Source organism: Homo sapiens, chromosome X, assembly GCF_000001405.40.
Source record: "Homo sapiens chromosome X, GRCh38.p14 Primary Assembly".
Taxonomy (NCBI): Eukaryota; Metazoa; Chordata; class Mammalia; order Primates; family Hominidae; genus Homo; species Homo sapiens.
The window spans coordinates 136,332,563-136,350,582 of NC_000023.11; the positions used below are offsets into that span (position 1 = coordinate 136,332,563).

General features: G+C 38.7%; 1 protein-coding gene across 5 annotated transcripts in view; it reads left to right on the forward strand.

Annotated features, from left to right (window-relative positions):
* The window catches only part of ADGRG4 (adhesion G protein-coupled receptor G4), a 115,928-nt gene that overhangs the window by 31,600 nt on the left and 66,308 nt on the right, over positions 1–18,020 (forward strand). For all 5 annotated transcript variants that reach the window (NM_153834.4, XM_011531269.3, XM_047441830.1 and 2 more), the window contains one exon: positions 11,830–17,871. In NM_153834.4, coding sequence (NP_722576.3) covers positions 11,830–17,871 — 6,042 coding nt within the window. The remainder of the gene's footprint in view (positions 1–11,829; positions 17,872–18,020) is intronic.

The following is an 18,020-nucleotide window of genomic DNA, read 5'->3' on the forward strand; positions in this document are numbered from 1 at the left end:
TCCCTGAGGAGTCGCCACACTGACTTCCACAATGGTTGCACTAGTTTACAGTCCCACCAACAGTGTAAAAGTGTTCCTATTTGTCCACATCCTCTCCAGCACCTGTTGTTTCCTGACTTTTTAATGATTGCCATTCTAACTGGTGTGAGATGGTATCTCATTGTGGTTTTGATTTGCATTTCTCTGATGGCCAGTGATGATGAGCATTTTTTCATGTGTTTTTTGGCTGCATAAATGTCTTCTTTTGAGAAGTGTCTGTTCATGTCCTTCACCCACTTTTTGATGGGGTTGTTTGTTTTTTTCTTGTAAATTTGTTTGAGTTCATTGTAGATTCTGGATATTAGCCCTTTTCAGATGAGTAGGTTGCAAAAATTTTCTCCCATTTTGTAGGTTGCCTGTTCACTCTGATGGTAGTTTCTTTTGCTGTGCGGAAGCTCTTTAGTTTAATTAGATCCCATTTGTCAATTTTGTCTTTTGTTGCCATTGCTTTTGGTGTTTTAGACCTGAGAAAAACAAGCAATGGGGAAAGGATTCCCTATTTAATAAATGGTGCTGGGAAAACTGGCTAGCCATATGTAGAAAGCTGAAACTGGATCCCTTCCTTACACCTTATACAAAAATCAATTCAAGATGGATTAAAGACTTAAACGTTAGACCTAAAACCATAAAAATCCTAGAAGAAAACCTAGGCATTACCATTCAGGACATAGGCATGGGCAAGGACTTCATGTATTTTTTTTTAGTAGAGACGGGGTTTCACCGTGTTAGCCAGTATGGTCTCGATTTCCTGACCTTGTGATCCACCCACCTCGGCCTCACAAAGTGCTGGGATTACAGGCATGAGCCACCGCACCCAGCCCTAATATATTCTAATTTTTTGTTGGGTATATCTTTTGCAAATATTTCCTTCTAGTCTGTAGATTTTTTAAAATTCTTTTTGTATTTATTTGTTTATTTATTTATTTATTTATTTGAGACTGAGTCTTGCTCTGTTGCCCAGGCTGGAGTGCACTGGCACGATCTCAGCTCACTGCAACTTCCACCTCCTGGATTCAAGTGATTCATGTGCCTCAGCCTCCTGAGTAGCTGGGACTACAGGCACATGCCACCATGCCTGGCTAATTTTTGTATTTTTAGTAGAGATGAGGTCTCACCATGCTGGCCAGGCTGGTCTCGAACTCTTGACCTCAAATTCTCCACCTGCCTTGGCCTACCAAAGTGCTAGGATTACAGCATGAGCCACCACACTTGGCCTAAAAATTCTTTTTATATGGGCTTTCACAGAACAAAAGCTTTTAATTTTGTTAAAGTCTAGTTTATTATTTAATTTTTTTAATGAGTCATGCTTTCGATGTTCAAGTTTAAGAACTCTTTGCTTAGCCCTAGATCCCAAAGATTTTCTCCTATATTTTTTCTAAATATTCCATAGCTTTGTACTTTACATTTAAGTCTGTGGTCCATTTTGAGTCAATTTTTGCATAAGATGTGTGAGGTGTAGGTTGAGGTTCTCTCTCTTTCTTTCTTTCTTTCTTTCTTTCTTTCTTTCTTTCTTTCTTTCTTTCTTTCTTTCTTTCTTTTTCTTTTTCTTTCTTTTTTTTGGTCTATTGATGTCCAGTTGCTTCAGTATTAATTGTTGAAAAGGTTATACTTGCTTTATTGAGTTGATTTTGTACCTTTGTCAAAAATCAGTTGAGCAAATTTTTATGTGTCTATTTCTGAATTTTCCATCTTTTCCAATCATCTATGTATCTATCCCTCTGCCAATACCACACTATTTTGATTGCTGTAACTTTACATAAAGCCTTAATATTGGGTAGAGAGATTCCTCTAACCTTATTCTTCTTTTCAAAAATTGGTTCAGTTATTCTAGGACTTGTGCATTTCCATAAAAATTTTAGACTATGCTTGTCTGTTTGCATATAACCTTGATGGAATATTGATAGGAATTGGATTATATCTGTATATCAATTTGAAGAGAGCTGACGTCTTTACTATGTTGAATCTTCCAATCCGTGAACACAGTGTGCTTCTCCATTTTTTAAGGTTTTCTTTGATTTGTTTCATTAGCATTTTGTGATACACATGCTTTGTTAAGTGTATACCTAAGTATTTCATTTTCATTGGAGCAATTGTAAATAGCATTGTGCTTTTGATTTCAGTTTCTGCGTGTTCATTTTTAGGACATAGAAATGTGATTGCTTTTTGTGTGTTGATTTTGTATTCTGAACTCATTTATAAGTTCTGGTAGATTTTTTTCTTGAAGATTCCTTGAGGTTTTCTATCTGGACTACTGCATAATCTGCAATGCCTTAAAAAATTTTTTTTTGCCTTTTTGGGGTGCCTCTAACTTCCAGTACCACGTTGAATCATACTGGTGAGAGTGGACATCCTTGCCTTGTTCCTGATCTTAGCTGGAAAACATTCAATCTTTCACCATTACAGTTGATGTTAGCTGTAGGTTTCTTGATGATGCCACTTACCATGTTGCTAAAAATCCCCTCTATTCTTAACTTGCCCAGAGATTGTATCGTGAAGGGATATGAATTTTTGTCAAATGCCTTTTTTGGATCAGTTGATATAATTTTTCTTCTTTATCTTGTTGATATTGTGGGTTATACTGATAGATTTTCAAAGGTTTAGCCAGCTTTGCATATTTGGAATAGATCCCACTTGGTCATGGTATATAATTATTTTTATATATTGTTTCATTTAGTTTGCTCATATATTGTTGAGGATTTTTGTATTTAATTTCAGGAGAGATATTGGTCTGTAATTTCTTTCTTTTTTTTTTTTTACTGTCTCTGATTTCAGTATCAGGATGACACTGGCCTTATAAAATGTGTAGGAAAGTGTTCCTCTTTTCTGGAAGAGATTCTATAAAATTGGTGTTAATTCTTCCTTGGCAGCAAACTCCAGTGAAATCATGTGGGCCTGGAGATTATTTTGTGAAGGCTTTTAAATTAGTAGTTCAATTTCTTTAATAGCTATAGGGCTATTCAGATTGTCTATTTCCTCTTGATGGAGCTTTGGTAAATTATGGGTTTTGAGGAGTTGTCTATTTCTTCTAACTTGTTGAATTTGTGAACATAAAGTTATTCATAATATTCTCTTATTGTCTTTTTAATTGCTGCAGAATAAGTAGTGATATTCTCTGTTTCATTTATGATATTGATGACTGACTTGTGCTTTTCTCTTTTTACTTTTATCAGTCTTGCTATAGGTTTATCAATTTTATTGACTTAAAAAATCATATTTGCTCCATTGATTTTTCTCTATTGTCTTCTTATTTTTAATTTCATTGAGTTCTTTTATGATCTTGCTTATTTTTTTATTCTGCCTGCTTTGGATTTATCTTGGGGTTTTTTTTAGGCTCTTGAGGTGGGAGCTGAGATTATTGTTTTGAGATATTTCCTCTTTTTAAATGTATGCATTTAGTGCTATAATCTTTCTTCTCAGCACTGTTTTAGTTGTATCTCCCAAATTTTTAAAATTAAATTTAATTTGATTAAAATAGTTTTATTTAATTCAATGTTTTAAATTTTTTTTGTTAAAATGTCTTCTTTGATTCATGGGTTATGCGGAAGTGTGTTGTTTAGAACTTTTCTATGGTCTTTCTGTAATTGATTTCTAGTTTGATTTCATAATAATCAGAGAAAACCATCTTATAAATTCAGTTCCTTTAAATGAGGTTTGTTTTATGGCCCAGTGTATGGTCTATGTTGGTGAATATTCCATGGGTGCTTCAAAAATATATATATTCTGCTATTGTTGAGTGGAGTGCTCTATATCAACTAAAGTCTGTTGATTGTGTTGTTCAGAACTTCTATATACCTGCTGATTTTCTGTTTAGTAGCTTTATCACTTGTTGAGACAGGGGTGTTAAAATTCCCAACTATAATTATGGATTTACTATTTTTCCTTTCAGCTCCATCAGTTTTGCTTCATGTATTTTGAGGCTCTGTTGTTTGATATGTATGCATTTAGGATCACCATGTCTTCCTGGTGAAGCAATGCATTTATTATTATGTAGTGTCCTTTCTTGAGTCCAGTAATTTTCCTTGCTCTGTACTCTAGTGAATATTATTATAGCCATTTTTACTTTCCTTAAACTTACTGCTTGCATGGTATAATTTTTCCATTCTTCTACTTTCAACCTACCTATATGATGATATTCAAAGTACATTCTTTTGTGAACAGCAACATATGGGTTACTTGAGCGTACTTTAATATTCCATCTTGATTTATTTATGGGGTTTTGAGTTTCTCTTTGCATGGTTTTCCTAGTGGTTGGACTTGGTATTACAATATGAAAATGTGACTACTGTTGTCAGCATTTTATCAGTTTGAGTGAGGTATGGAAACCTCACTTCCATTTTGGTCCTTTGACTTTCCTCACCTTTTAGATTTTTTTTGAAGGGATCTTGTTCTGTCATCCAGACTGCAGAGCAGTGGAGTGCAGTGGTATGATCATAGCTCACAGCAACCTCAAACTCCTGGGCTCAAGTAATCCTCCTGTCTCGGTTTCCCAAGTAGCTGGGACTATAGGTGTGCACCACCACGCCCAGTTATTTTTAAAAAAATTTTTTGATAGAGATAGGGTCTCACTTTGCTGCCCAGGCTGGTCTTGAACTCCTGGCTTCAAGCAATCTTCCTGCTTTGACCTCCCAAATTTCTAGGATTACAGACATGAGCTGCCATATCCAGCCACTTTTAAATTTTGTTGTTTTAAATATCAGATGATGTTGCAATTTTTGTCTCAATCATCAAATATGATTTATAAAGCTCATGAGGAAAAGGATCATCTATTTTATGTACCCATATTTTTGTTCTTTCCTTTGCTCGTTTTTTCTTTCTCATTCTCCAAGATTCTTTAAAAAAATTATTTCTGTTTGAAGTAATTCCTTTAGCTAATCTTTTAAAGATAGGTCTGCCAGTGACAAGGTATCTTAATTTTCCTTCATCAGAGAATGTTTTCATTTCCATTTTATTCCTGTAAGATAGCTTTGCTGGATATAGAATTCATGGTTAACAATTCTTTTCTGTCAGCTTTTGAAAAATATTATGACAGCTTCTTCTGGCCTCCTTAGTTCTGGATGAGAAATCTGTCATTTAAGTTGTTGCTCTTCTATAAGCAATGTTTGTTTCTTTCTGTCTACTTTCAAAATTTTTTGTCTTTTAGTTTTCAAAAGTTCAATTATGATGTGCCTTGCCACAGATTTCTTTGGCTTTTATCCTTCCTGGAATTTGTTTAGCTTTTTGAATCTCTAGGTTTGTGTCTTTTGTCAAATTTGGGAAGCTTTTAGCCTTTATTTATTTATTTTTTAATATACATTCAGCCCCACTGTCTTTCTCCTCTCTTTTAAGGCTATGGTAATATGAATGTTGGATATTTTGTTATTGTCCCACAGGTCCTAGTGGCTGTCTTCATTTTTCTTTTCAATGCATTTTCTCTATTGTTTAGATTGGGTGAATTCTATTATTTTATCATTATGTTTACCTGTTCTATCTTCTGTCATCTCTACTCTACTATTAAGTCCATCCAGCTCGTCTTAAAAATTTGGTTTTGTATTCTTTCATTCTATAATTTCCACTTGGTTCCTTTTTTTTTTTTTCAATACAGAGTCTCGTTCTGTCGCCCAGGCTGGAGTACAGTGGCGCGATCTTGGCTCACAGCAACCTCCGTCTCCCGGGTTCAAGGGATTCTCATACCTCAGCCTCCTGAGTATCTGGCACTCAACACCATGTCTGGCTAATTTTTGTATTTTTAGTAGAAACGGGGTTTCATCATGTTGGCCAGGCTGGTCTCAAACTCCTGGATTCAGATGATCCGTCTTCCTTTCCTCCCAAAGTGCTGGGATTACAGGCATGAGCCACCAAGCCTGGCCCCATTTTTTTTCCAAATAATTTCAAAAATTTTAAGTTCAGGATTTGCAGATTTGTTACCTAGGTAAATGTGTGCCATGGTGGTTTGCTGCACCTATGAACCCATCACCTTGATTCTTTCTTAACAATGTTTATTTCTTTTCTGAGATTCTATTTTTTGCATTTCAAGATAATTTGTAATTGCTTGCAGGATTATTTATATGATGATTGCTTTAATATCATTGTCAGATAATTCCAGTGTCTAATTCATCTCAGTTTTAGCATCAGTTGATTATCTTTTCTTACTCAAGTTGTGATTTTGTTGCTTCTAAATATGACAGGTAATTTAAAAAATTGTATCCTGGACATTTTGTCAATTAGGAGATTCTGGGTCTTTTTTAAATCTTTTATTTTAGCAGTCAGTCATTCTGTTTAGGCTTAGCACACAGGTCTTGGTCCATTTTTGTGGGCTGTGCTTCCAAATACAACTTAATTTTTATAGTCTTTGTGATGTTATTTCATCTTGCTTGGTTTATCTGGTACCCCTGAGGCTTCCACCTGTCTCTGCTGGTGCTTCTTGGGTGGGGAGCAGAAGGCATCTCCTTAGGCCAGGCCTCCAGCTGTCTCTCAGAGGGGGATGGATGTGGGGGCATCACCCTACCAATGCCTCTTGACTTCCGCTAGTCTCTGGACAGGAAAGGAAAATCTTGGGCTAGTTTTCGTAGACTTGGCCACCTGCTGCTGGAGAGTCCCTTTTTCTTGTTTCCCCTGCCTACCTTGGTGTCTCTGGGTGAGGGAAGAGAATCTCAGTACTGCAGGGACAAAAAGACTTCCTGGATCAGGCCACTTGCTATTACTGGCTCCCTTTTTCCTCTTATGCCTGCCTGCCTTGGTTTTTCTGAATGGGCGAGGAAAACCTTGGGTTGGCAAAAACAATAGTCTTCCCAGACTGGGTTATGTTCAACCAGTGTTTTTTGGTGGAGAGGGGAGATTCAGGCCTGTTAGGGAAGGAGAGTGCTTCTCTTGGTTGCTTATTGTTAGCAAGGTGCCCAGTCAGTCCCCCTTGCTGGAGTATCCAACTTGCCTGAAGTTGTCAGAGGGACTCCCATTTGATCCAGAAGGGGAATGAGCCTACTTGGACTGACTTCTGTTTCTAGGTTGGGGATTAGGAAGCATAGGGCCTGGGCCGCATTTTTATGCTGGGTTTGGTGAGGGGGAGAAGATAACTGCCACTATGTTGTTCCTTTACTCTTGGGGTCCCAAACCAGTTTGTTTTATTCTTAGCACCTTTCATAGTTCTCCTTTGGTTGTCTCTTACACCATTTCCAGGATTTATAGTTGTACCTTTTGGGGAGGAGCAGGGAAAAGTGGCTCTATGCCATCTTGTTCAGTTGAGAAGTCTGCATTTGCTTTTAACATCAGTTCTTGGGCAGTAAAAGCTCTTGAGTGTGTATGCGTAGACAGATAGGGTGCAACAAAATGACAGAGATAATATCACTGGCATTGTAACTACCTTACTCACTTACAACATTTTCTTTTCTGAGAAGGACAGGCATTAAATTCAATGGAGATAAGTGTGCCATTTAGGATAAAAAAAATCCCTACCACATATAGGGAAAAGAGAAAGATTGATGAAGCAGAAGTAAAGTGAACCTCACTCATTAGAAATGATAGGTGCACAGAAAGTCTGAATTACTGAATTTAAGAAAAACAAAAGTATGTACAGATTAAGACAATAAGGTCACCAATAAACAAATTAAGTTATAAAAGAAATTTATATTCAGTATCAGCCTACATTATACAAAATGATCTTGAATGTTCAAGATCATTTTCAATGCCAACCCATTGCAATTAATTTCTAGACTTAAGGTTTATAGGAATCTTTAATTCCAATGGATCCTGATTCTAAAAAGCTACTGATTGTTTGATTGAATTGTCTTTATCTAGGATATGAATGATTATTCAAGGCATATATCATATCAGGGAATGTCCATAATTTGGGATCCCCACTGAGTTTTGATTCCTGGGCCAGCAAAGTCGCCTTGATGTTTTAGTTTAGCATTGCAATGCTGTCCTCTAAAGTTTGTTTCACTGTTTTGGATGATTGCTGTTTCTTGCAGTGTTCAGCACTTGCAGAACTTGGCATTTAGTATCTAACTTTGTTTCTCCTTGGTACCTTCAGAAAGAGTCTCTTTCTTTCTTTGTTTCTCCTCAGATTGGGGTGTTTCCATATAAATTGAGGGCATACATTTATGAGGAATTTGAGGGCATACATTATGAGAAATTGAGGCATTTCTACATACTGTCTAATTTCTTCTCTAAATCTTTCATCTGTGGAAATCTCATTTCAACACTGCACTTCTCTGGGCCTCATCTGTAAATGAAAGGATTGAATATAATCTCCAAGTCCTGGCTCTAAAATTCTGGGATTTTAATGAATGAAGACTTTAGTCTTTATTAATACAGACTTTAGAGGAAAAATTTGATACAGCAGTCCCTCTGGAAGAAACCTTGCATCTGAAAGATTTAATGGAAGGTTTGCTGAAATATACAAACCCAGGCTTTAGGTTAAAACGGAGCAATGTAACATGCATTATTTCTCGAGATCTCTGGTACTTAAAATGCCACCTGCTTGGCAATTTAGCTCAACTCATTTGTTTTTATCTTTCTAAATCTTATATTCCTTCTTGAGATGCTTACTGGAAGTGTTAATAACAATTGCTACATCTATGGCTCAGCCCTCTCTGATAAAAATACCATGTCTAACTCCCATTCCCCGTCTTCTAAAAGAGTTTTCCACTACTTATGGATTACTCCAATAGTGCTCTTTGAATGCTGCATCAAAGAAGATAACTTAGACTTTTATGGTATTTAGTGTTTTATTGTTTTCCTAAAAAGTGAATGCAGTTCAATCATTAATCTTTTGTAAAGGAGAGGGAATTGTGAACTCTTCTCTCAACAATTAGTGCATTCATAGAGTGATTTCAGGCTCTAGGATGCCACACTCCTCAAATGTGCTAGAAGTGACACTTTCACGGAGGTTTGCTAAGCCAGTTGGCTGGTGTAAACCCACCTACAAAATTGGAAATGAAGATCCTGACAATTCTCCTTTCACGTGGAGTTATGGACAAATTTGAAAGCATAAAGCTTAAAATACTCACTTGGCTGCTGAAATATACCAGTTTCTTGATAAGGCCTAACATAATGTGCATCTGTGGTAATTGGAAAAATGTCATAAAATTAAGTGAAAAAGTACTTTTTATATAGCTTTGTCTTTTCCCCTTAAAAATGTGTGTACTTTTATCAACTCATCTATACAGTCAATTGGAAGATTGTCATTCATTCTACTTGCTAATGACCACAAAATCCTGAAGAACATCCTACACACACCTCAAAATTTCTGGATATGCAAATTATAAGTAATTTTAATGCTCAAGACAGTGAAACAAATCAGTAGATTGTCTACTACCACAATTATTCCTACATCATAGGTAATATGCTTCTCAGATGGATAAATTCAAAATACTAATTTCCCTAAGGTAAATATGGATGTTTGGGTGATTTCAATTGGAGAAAGATCATGACTCAGTCTTGAATTTTACTATGTACCATTTTCACTTGGATATTCACTATCATCCTAAATTCCACTTATCCACGTCTGAACTGGGTGTTTTTCTTCTGAGTGAGGCTGCCTTCCCAATTTTTCTGTTTTTATGAATATTATCACTATTCTCCGAGTTGCCCAGAAGCAAACTTTGAGTTCTCTGAGATTTCTGTCTTCTTTATCTCTTAAATCTCTTTGTTATCATACACTGTCAATTCTTACTTTCCAGTAGATATAGGGATAGGAATCTTCACACTGCTCTCACATCATTCCAAGCCTTATTCAGTTATTCTATTAGCTTACAAATAGATACTAAACATCTACCATGTGCCAGGCACTGGGATAGACACTAAAGATACAATGGTGGGCAACAAAAGATGAGGACTCTGTCCATGTGGTCTAGCGAGGAAGACAGACATTAAAAATCACATGCAAACAAAGGTAAATCTCCAATTATGACGCATTAAATGAAGAAGAGGTATGAGGCGTCATAAGAGTCTAAAATAGATTGGTGTGAGCTAGTCATGGAAGTCAGGGAAGGTAGGTTTCCCTGAAGAGGTGATGCATGAGCTGAGAACTGAAGAATTGGCAGAAGTTAATCAGATGAGGAAGGATGGGAAGTACATTCTAAGTAGAGGTTACAGCAAATGCAATGGTCTTGTAGTGGGAAAGAGCATGCCAAGTATTAGAGAACTAAAAAGAGGAAGACTAAAAAAAAACAGAGGGGACTTAGCACAAATTGAGACTGAAGAGCTAGAGAGGGACCAAATCATGCATAGCTTTATATGCTTTATTAAGAAAAAATTTTCTTTTTATCCTATGAGCAATAGAAAGCAACTAAAGAGAGCTCAGTGTGTGTGTGTGTGTGTGTGTGTGTGTGTGTGTGTGTGTGTGAGAGAGAGAGAGGAAGGGGATCAGATTGGCACTTAAAAAGATCATTTTGGTTGTATTATGGAACAGATTAGAGGGGGTCCAAGAGTAGTGGCAGACTAGTTCAGTTGGGAGGCTACTGCAGTAGTCCAAGTGAAAGATGATGGTGACTGGTTAGGGTGGTAAGTGATGGAGATAGAGATAAACTGGGGTGAGCCAAGAGATATTTAGGAGCTACGATCAATAGGACAAGATTATGGATTGGCTATGGCAGGTGAGAGAGAGAATGAAGGAGACAGAGGGAGAGACAGAGAGTTGGAGCTTGCATAATTTAATGTATGATAGTGTAGGGCCAGTCACTAAAGGAATACCAGAAGAGGACCCAGTTTGGAGAGAAGCTAATGAGTTCAAGTTGGAGAATGTTGAGCTTGAGGTGTTAATGAGATATCCAAGAAACGATATCAAGTAAACAATTGGTTATATAAATGTGGAGCTCAAAATAGAGCAAAATAGAGATCTGGTCAAGAGATATAACTTTGAGATTTGTCTGGGTATAGGTGTAAATTGAAATCCTAGGTGTAGAGAAACTATACAGCCAAATGTGAAGAGGTCCTGGGACAAAGCGTTGGTCAGGTAAAATAGGATGAGTCTAAAAATGAGTGGACAGAGAAGTAGGAGAAAACGCAGGAGTGTGATGTGTAATGGAAAGCAATGAAAAGAGTATTTTAAACTCATTACTTCTACTAAATAAATGTTAATTTGGGAGTTCCAGATTAAAACATTTTCAATCTGGTGTTTAAATGACTGATAGAAGTTTGACCAAGTGAAAGCCAACTGTTTTTTGAGCACTTACTCTGTATAAGAAGCTATGCTAAGTGTTTTATGCACATTAACTCAATCTCATAACGATTTTATAGGATAGGTGTTATTATAATCCTCATATTATAGAGGAGGAAACTGAAGCACGGAGAGGTTAAGCAACTAGTCCAAGGTTATGTAATGGGTGTGAAAGTGATGGAGCCAGCATTTAAAACTAATCCATTTGAATCTAAGGTTGATTTTTTCTTTTTGGAATATTTTAAACTACACAATTCAATTTCTTTAATAGATATAGGACTATTCAAGTTATCTGTTTCTTCTTAACTGAGTTCTTATAGCTGTATTTTTCAAGGAATTGGATCCTTTCCCAAAGCTAATCTTCTTAATCAATGCACTACTGTGGCATGCATCCCTCTTTCAGGAATGTTTATATATTTTATGAAGATACTACGAAATGGATATCTTCCTACCAGTTACTTAACCAGAGTGTTATGAGTACCATATAGAGGTCTTAGAGAGTAGAAAATTATCTTAAGGAAAATCAAGTGATCAAGTGATTTGATTATATCTATGATACTTTCTTACAAAATGAAAAGAAATTATAGAGCTCTTTCTAGTTGTCTCTAATTTCCAAAGCTGAATCCAAAATAACACATTCTTTCTGATTTTTTTAGTTGTTCCTGAAAATATGACAATTCAAGAAAAAAGTACAACTGTTTCACAACAGATAGATATGACCACTCCATCCCAAATTACTGGAGTAAAACCACAAAATACTGCACATTCCTCTACACTATTGTCTCAAAGCATACCTATATTTGCAACTGATTACACAACCATATCATATTCCAATACAACATCTCCACCTCTGGAAACAATGACTGCACAAAAAATCTTAAAGACACTGGTAGATGAGACAGCTACATTTGCAGTGGATGTTTTATCAACTTCATCAGCCATCTCTCTGCCTACCCAGAGTATATCCATAGACAATACTACCAATTCCATGAAAAAAACGAAATCTCCATCTTCAGAAAGCACAAAGACAACAAAAATGGTTGAAGCCATGGCTACTGAAATCTTTCAACCACCTACACCTTCTAATTTCCTATCCACATCCAGATTTACCAAGAATTCAGTTGTATCTACAACTTCAGCAATTAAATCTCAGTCGGCTGTTACGAAGACAACATCTTTATTTTCAACTATTGAGTCAACATCTATGTCTACAACACCTTGTCTCAAACAAAAATCCACAAATACTGGGGCACTCCCTATCTCCACAGCTGGCCAGGAGTTCATTGAATCTACAGCTGCCGGAACTGTACCTTGGTTTACAGTGGAAAAGACTTCACCTGCATCTACTCATGTTGGGACTGCATCATCATTCCCACCTGAGCCTGTGCTCATCTCCACAGCTGCTCCAGTAGATTCTGTATTTCCTAGAAACCAGACAGCATTTCCATTGGCAACAACTGATATGAAAATAGCATTTACAGTCCATTCATTGACTCTCCCAACTAGGCTTATTGAGACCACACCTGCCCCAAGGACAGCTGAAACAGAATTGACATCTACAAATTTTCAGGATGTCTCTTTACCCAGAGTGGAAGATGCCATGTCTACTTCCATGTCGAAAGAGACCTCCTCTAAGACCTTTTCTTTCTTAACATCCTTTTCATTTACTGGGACTGAGAGTGTACAGACAGTTATTGATGCTGAAGCTACACGTACAGCCTTAACTCCTGAAATCACACTTGCATCTACAGTGGCTGAAACTATGCTTTCCTCCACAATCACAGGACGAGTTTACACCCAGAATACACCTACAGCTGATGGACACTTGCTTACTTTGATGTCCACTAGATCAGCTTCCACATCCAAGGCACCTGAGTCAGGTCCCACATCCACAACTGATGAAGCTGCCCATCTGTTCTCCAGCAATGAGACCATTTGGACTTCTAGGCCAGACCAGGCCCTGCTGGCATCTATGAACACAACCACCATACTCACATTTGTGCCTAATGAAAATTTTACATCAGCATTTCATGAGAATACTACTTATACAGAATATTTATCCGCAACTACCAATATCACCCCACTGAAAGCATCTCCAGAGGGCAAAGGTACCACTGCCAATGATGCTACTACAGCCAGATATACAACAGCTGTATCCAAATTGACATCACCATGGTTTGCTAATTTCTCCATAGTTTCTGGAACCACATCCATAACCAATATGCCTGAATTTAAACTTACCACTTTACTACTAAAAACAATACCTATGTCTACAAAACCTGCAAATGAACTTCCTTTGACACCAAGGGAGACTGTTGTTCCATCAGTAGATATAATATCTACTCTTGCTTGCATTCAACCAAATTTTTCTACTGAGGAAAGTGCTTCTGAGACCACACAAACAGAAATAAATGGTGCAATTGTATTTGGAGGTACAACGACCCCTGTACCAAAGTCAGCAACAACACAAAGATTAAATGCCACTGTGACAAGAAAAGAAGCAACTTCCCATTATCTTATGAGAAAATCAACTATAGCAGCAGTGGCTGAGGTTTCTCCATTTTCAACAATGCTGGAAGTGACAGACGAATCAGCACAAAGGGTGACAGCTTCTGTCACTGTTTCCTCTTTTCCTGATATAGAAAAGCTAAGTACCCCATTGGATAATAAAACTGCAACAACTGAGGTGAGAGAAAGTTGGCTTTTGACAAAATTGGTGAAAACCACACCTAGGAGTTCATACAATGAAATGACAGAAATGTTTAATTTTAACCACACCTATGTAGCACATTGGACTTCAGAGACATCTGAGGGAATTTCAGCTGGATCTCCCACTTCTGGGAGCACACATATATTCGGTGAACCCCTGGGTGCTTCTACCACAAGGATATCAGAAACCAGTTTCTCCACTACCCCTACAGACAGGACAGCTACGTCCTTGTCTGATGGTATCTTACCTCCACAGCCTACAGCTGCTCATTCCTCAGCAACCCCTGTGCCTGTTACTCATATGTTCTCATTGCCAGTTAATGGCAGTTCTGTGGTGGCTGAGGAGACTGAGGTTACCATGTCTGAGCCTTCTACACTGGCCAGGGCTTTTTCTACATCTGTGCTCTCAGATGTCTCAAATCTATCCTCAACTACAATGACCACAGCATTGGTACCACCTTTGGATCAGACTGCTTCCACAACCATTGTTATTGTGCCTACCCATGGAGACTTGATTCGTACCACTTCAGAGGCCACGGTAATCTCTGTCAGGAAGACATCCATGGCAGTTCCTTCTCTGACAGAAACACCATTTCATTCACTGAGACTCTCCACTCCTGTGACAGCTAAGGCTGAGACCACCCTTTTCTCTACCTCAGTTGATACAGTAACCCCATCTACACACACTCTTGTCTGCTCAAAACCTCCCCCTGACAACATTCCTCCTGCGTCCTCCACTCATGTGATCTCAACTACGTCTACACCAGAAGCAACTCAACCAATATCTCAAGTAGAGGAGACTTCTACCTATGCTCTCAGCTTCCCATATACTTTCAGTGGTGGTGGAGTTGTTGCCAGCTTGGCTACTGGCACCACAGAGACCTCTGTTGTTGATGAGACCACACCCTCACACATCTCTGCCAATAAGTTGACTACTTCAGTAAACAGTCACATTTCTTCATCTGCCACATATCGTGTACACACACCAGTGTCCATCCAGTTGGTGACTAGCACCTCTGTCTTATCTTCCGACAAAGACCAGATGACCATATCCCTGGGAAAAACCCCTAGAACTATGGAGGTGACAGAAATGTCCCCATCAAAGAATTCTTTTATTTCATACTCCCGGGGTACTCCATCTTTGGAAATGACAGATACAGGATTTCCTGAGACCACAAAAATTTCCAGTCACCAAACACATTCGCCTTCAGAGATTCCACTTGGGACTCCCTCTGATGGAAATTTGGCTTCATCTCCCACTTCTGGAAGCACACAGATTACACCAACCTTGACCTCAAGTAACACAGTAGGTGTTCACATTCCAGAAATGTCTACCAGTCTTGGGAAAACAGCTCTCCCCTCACAAGCTCTGACAATCACCACTTTTTTGTGTCCTGAAAAGGAAAGCACGAGTGCCCTTCCAGCATATACTCCCAGGACTGTGGAAATGATAGTAAACTCCACCTATGTGACTCACTCTGTCTCATATGGCCAGGATACTTCATTTGTAGATACCACAACTTCCAGCTCAACAAGGATATCAAATCCTATGGACATCAATACAACTTTTTCACACTTGCATTCACTTAGGACACAACCTGAGGTGACTTCAGTTGCCTCTTTCATTTCTGAAAGCACACAGACTTTCCCTGAGTCCTTGTCTCTTTCCACAGCTGGACTATATAATGACGGTTTTACAGTTCTCTCCGACAGGATCACTACAGCCTTTTCTGTTCCAAATGTACCTACAATGCTTCCTAGAGAATCCTCTATGGCAACGTCCACTCCTATTTACCAGATGTCCTCATTGCCAGTTAATGTAACTGCCTTCACCTCCAAAAAAGTTTCTGACACTCCCCCAATAGTGATAACTAAATCTTCTAAAACAATGCATCCAGGTTGTTTGAAAAGTCCCTGTACAGCCACTTCTGGGCCTATGTCTGAGATGTCCTCAATACCAGTTAATAACTCTGCTTTCACACCTGCAACAGTCTCTTCTGACACTTCCACAAGAGTTGGGTTATTCTCTACTTTATTGTCTTCAGTTACCCCCAGGACTACTATGACCATGCAAACATCTACATTGGATGTCACACCTGTGATATATGCTGGGGCTACTTCAAAAAACAAAATGGTTTCCTCTGCTTTCACTACAGAAATGATAGAGGCACCTTCCAGGATCACACCTACGACCTTTCTCTCTCCAACAGAGCCAACTTTGCCCTTTGTAAAAACCGTTCCCACCACCATTATGGCTGGGATAGTGACTCCATTTGTAGGCACCACTGCCTTCTCTCCACTCAGTTCTAAGAGCACTGGAGCTATTTCCTCCATTCCAAAGACCACATTTTCACCATTTCTATCAGCAACTCAACAGTCATCACAAGCAGATGAGGCTACAACTTTGGGCATATTATCTGGGATTACTAACAGGTCCCTATCTACTGTGAACAGTGGTACAGGGGTAGCTCTCACAGATACTTATTCCAGAATCACTGTTCCTGAAAATATGCTTTCACCTACTCATGCAGATAGTCTCCATACTTCCTTCAATATTCAGGTTTCCCCATCTCTGACTAGCTTTAAGAGTGCTTCTGGACCCACAAAAAATGTTAAAACAACCACCAATTGCTTTTCTTCTAATACTAGAAAGATGACTTCCTTGTTAGAAAAGACTTCCTTAACAAACTATGCCACATCTTTGAATACCCCTGTTTCATACCCTCCATGGACCCCATCCAGTGCAACTCTACCCTCTTTGACATCATTTGTTTATTCACCTCATAGTACTGAAGCTGAGATCTCTACTCCAAAGACCTCTCCTCCTCCCACATCCCAAATGGTTGAATTTCCAGTTCTGGGAACAAGAATGACATCTAGTAATACCCAACCTCTGCTTATGACTTCCTGGAACATACCCACAGCTGAAGGTTCTCAGTTTCCAATTTCCACCACTATTAATGTACCTACATCCAATGAGATGGAAACAGAGACTCTACACCTTGTTCCTGGGCCTTTGTCAACATTCACAGCCTCTCAGACTGGTCTAGTATCTAAAGATGTCATGGCAATGTCATCAATTCCTATGTCAGGAATTCTTCCTAACCATGGGCTTTCTGAGAACCCTTCATTATCAACATCTTTAAGAGCTATCACTTCCACATTGGCTGACGTTAAGCACACATTTGAGAAAATGACCACATCTGTAACTCCTGGGACCACACTCCCATCAATTCTTTCTGGTGCCACTTCAGGATCTGTAATTTCAAAGTCACCCATTCTGACATGGCTCTTATCTAGTCTCCCTTCTGGCTCCCCTCCGGCAACTGTATCTAATGCCCCTCATGTTATGACTTCCTCTACAGTAGAGGTGTCAAAATCAACATTTCTGACATCTGACATGATATCAGCGCACCCATTCACTAACTTGACAACACTACCCTCTGCTACTATGAGCACCATACTCACCCGAACCATTCCTACACCTACACTGGGTGGTATCACTACTGGCTTCCCAACTTCTCTCCCTATGTCTATAAATGTCACAGATGACATTGTGTACATTTCCACACACCCTGAGGCATCCTCCAGAACCACAATAACTGCCAACCCCAGGACTGTGTCTCATCCTTCATCCTTCAGCAGAAAGACTATGTCACCTTCTACAACTGACCACACTCTATCTGTTGGTGCCATGCCTCTGCCTAGCTCTACAATAACATCTTCATGGAACAGAATTCCAACTGCATCATCACCCTCTACTTTAATTATTCCTAAGCCCACACTGGACTCCCTTCTAAATATAATGACTACTACATCCACTGTTCCTGGAGCCTCATTTCCACTCATATCCACTGGGGTGACATATCCTTTTACAGCAACTGTGTCTTCACCAATATCGTCCTTTTTTGAAACAACTTGGCTGGACTCCACACCTTCCTTTCTATCTACGGAAGCATCGACTTCGCCTACTGCCACCAAGTCCACAGGTACTGCTCCATAATGCATGTGGTGTAGCCCCAACAGAATTCATGCACTATGGGTCATGTGTTCTCCAAAGTGGCCCGTTCTTGGAAGGCAGAAAAGAATGAAGAAGGGTGCAGGTGTTTCTTGTCTCCTTCAGACAGTGGGTACAGTG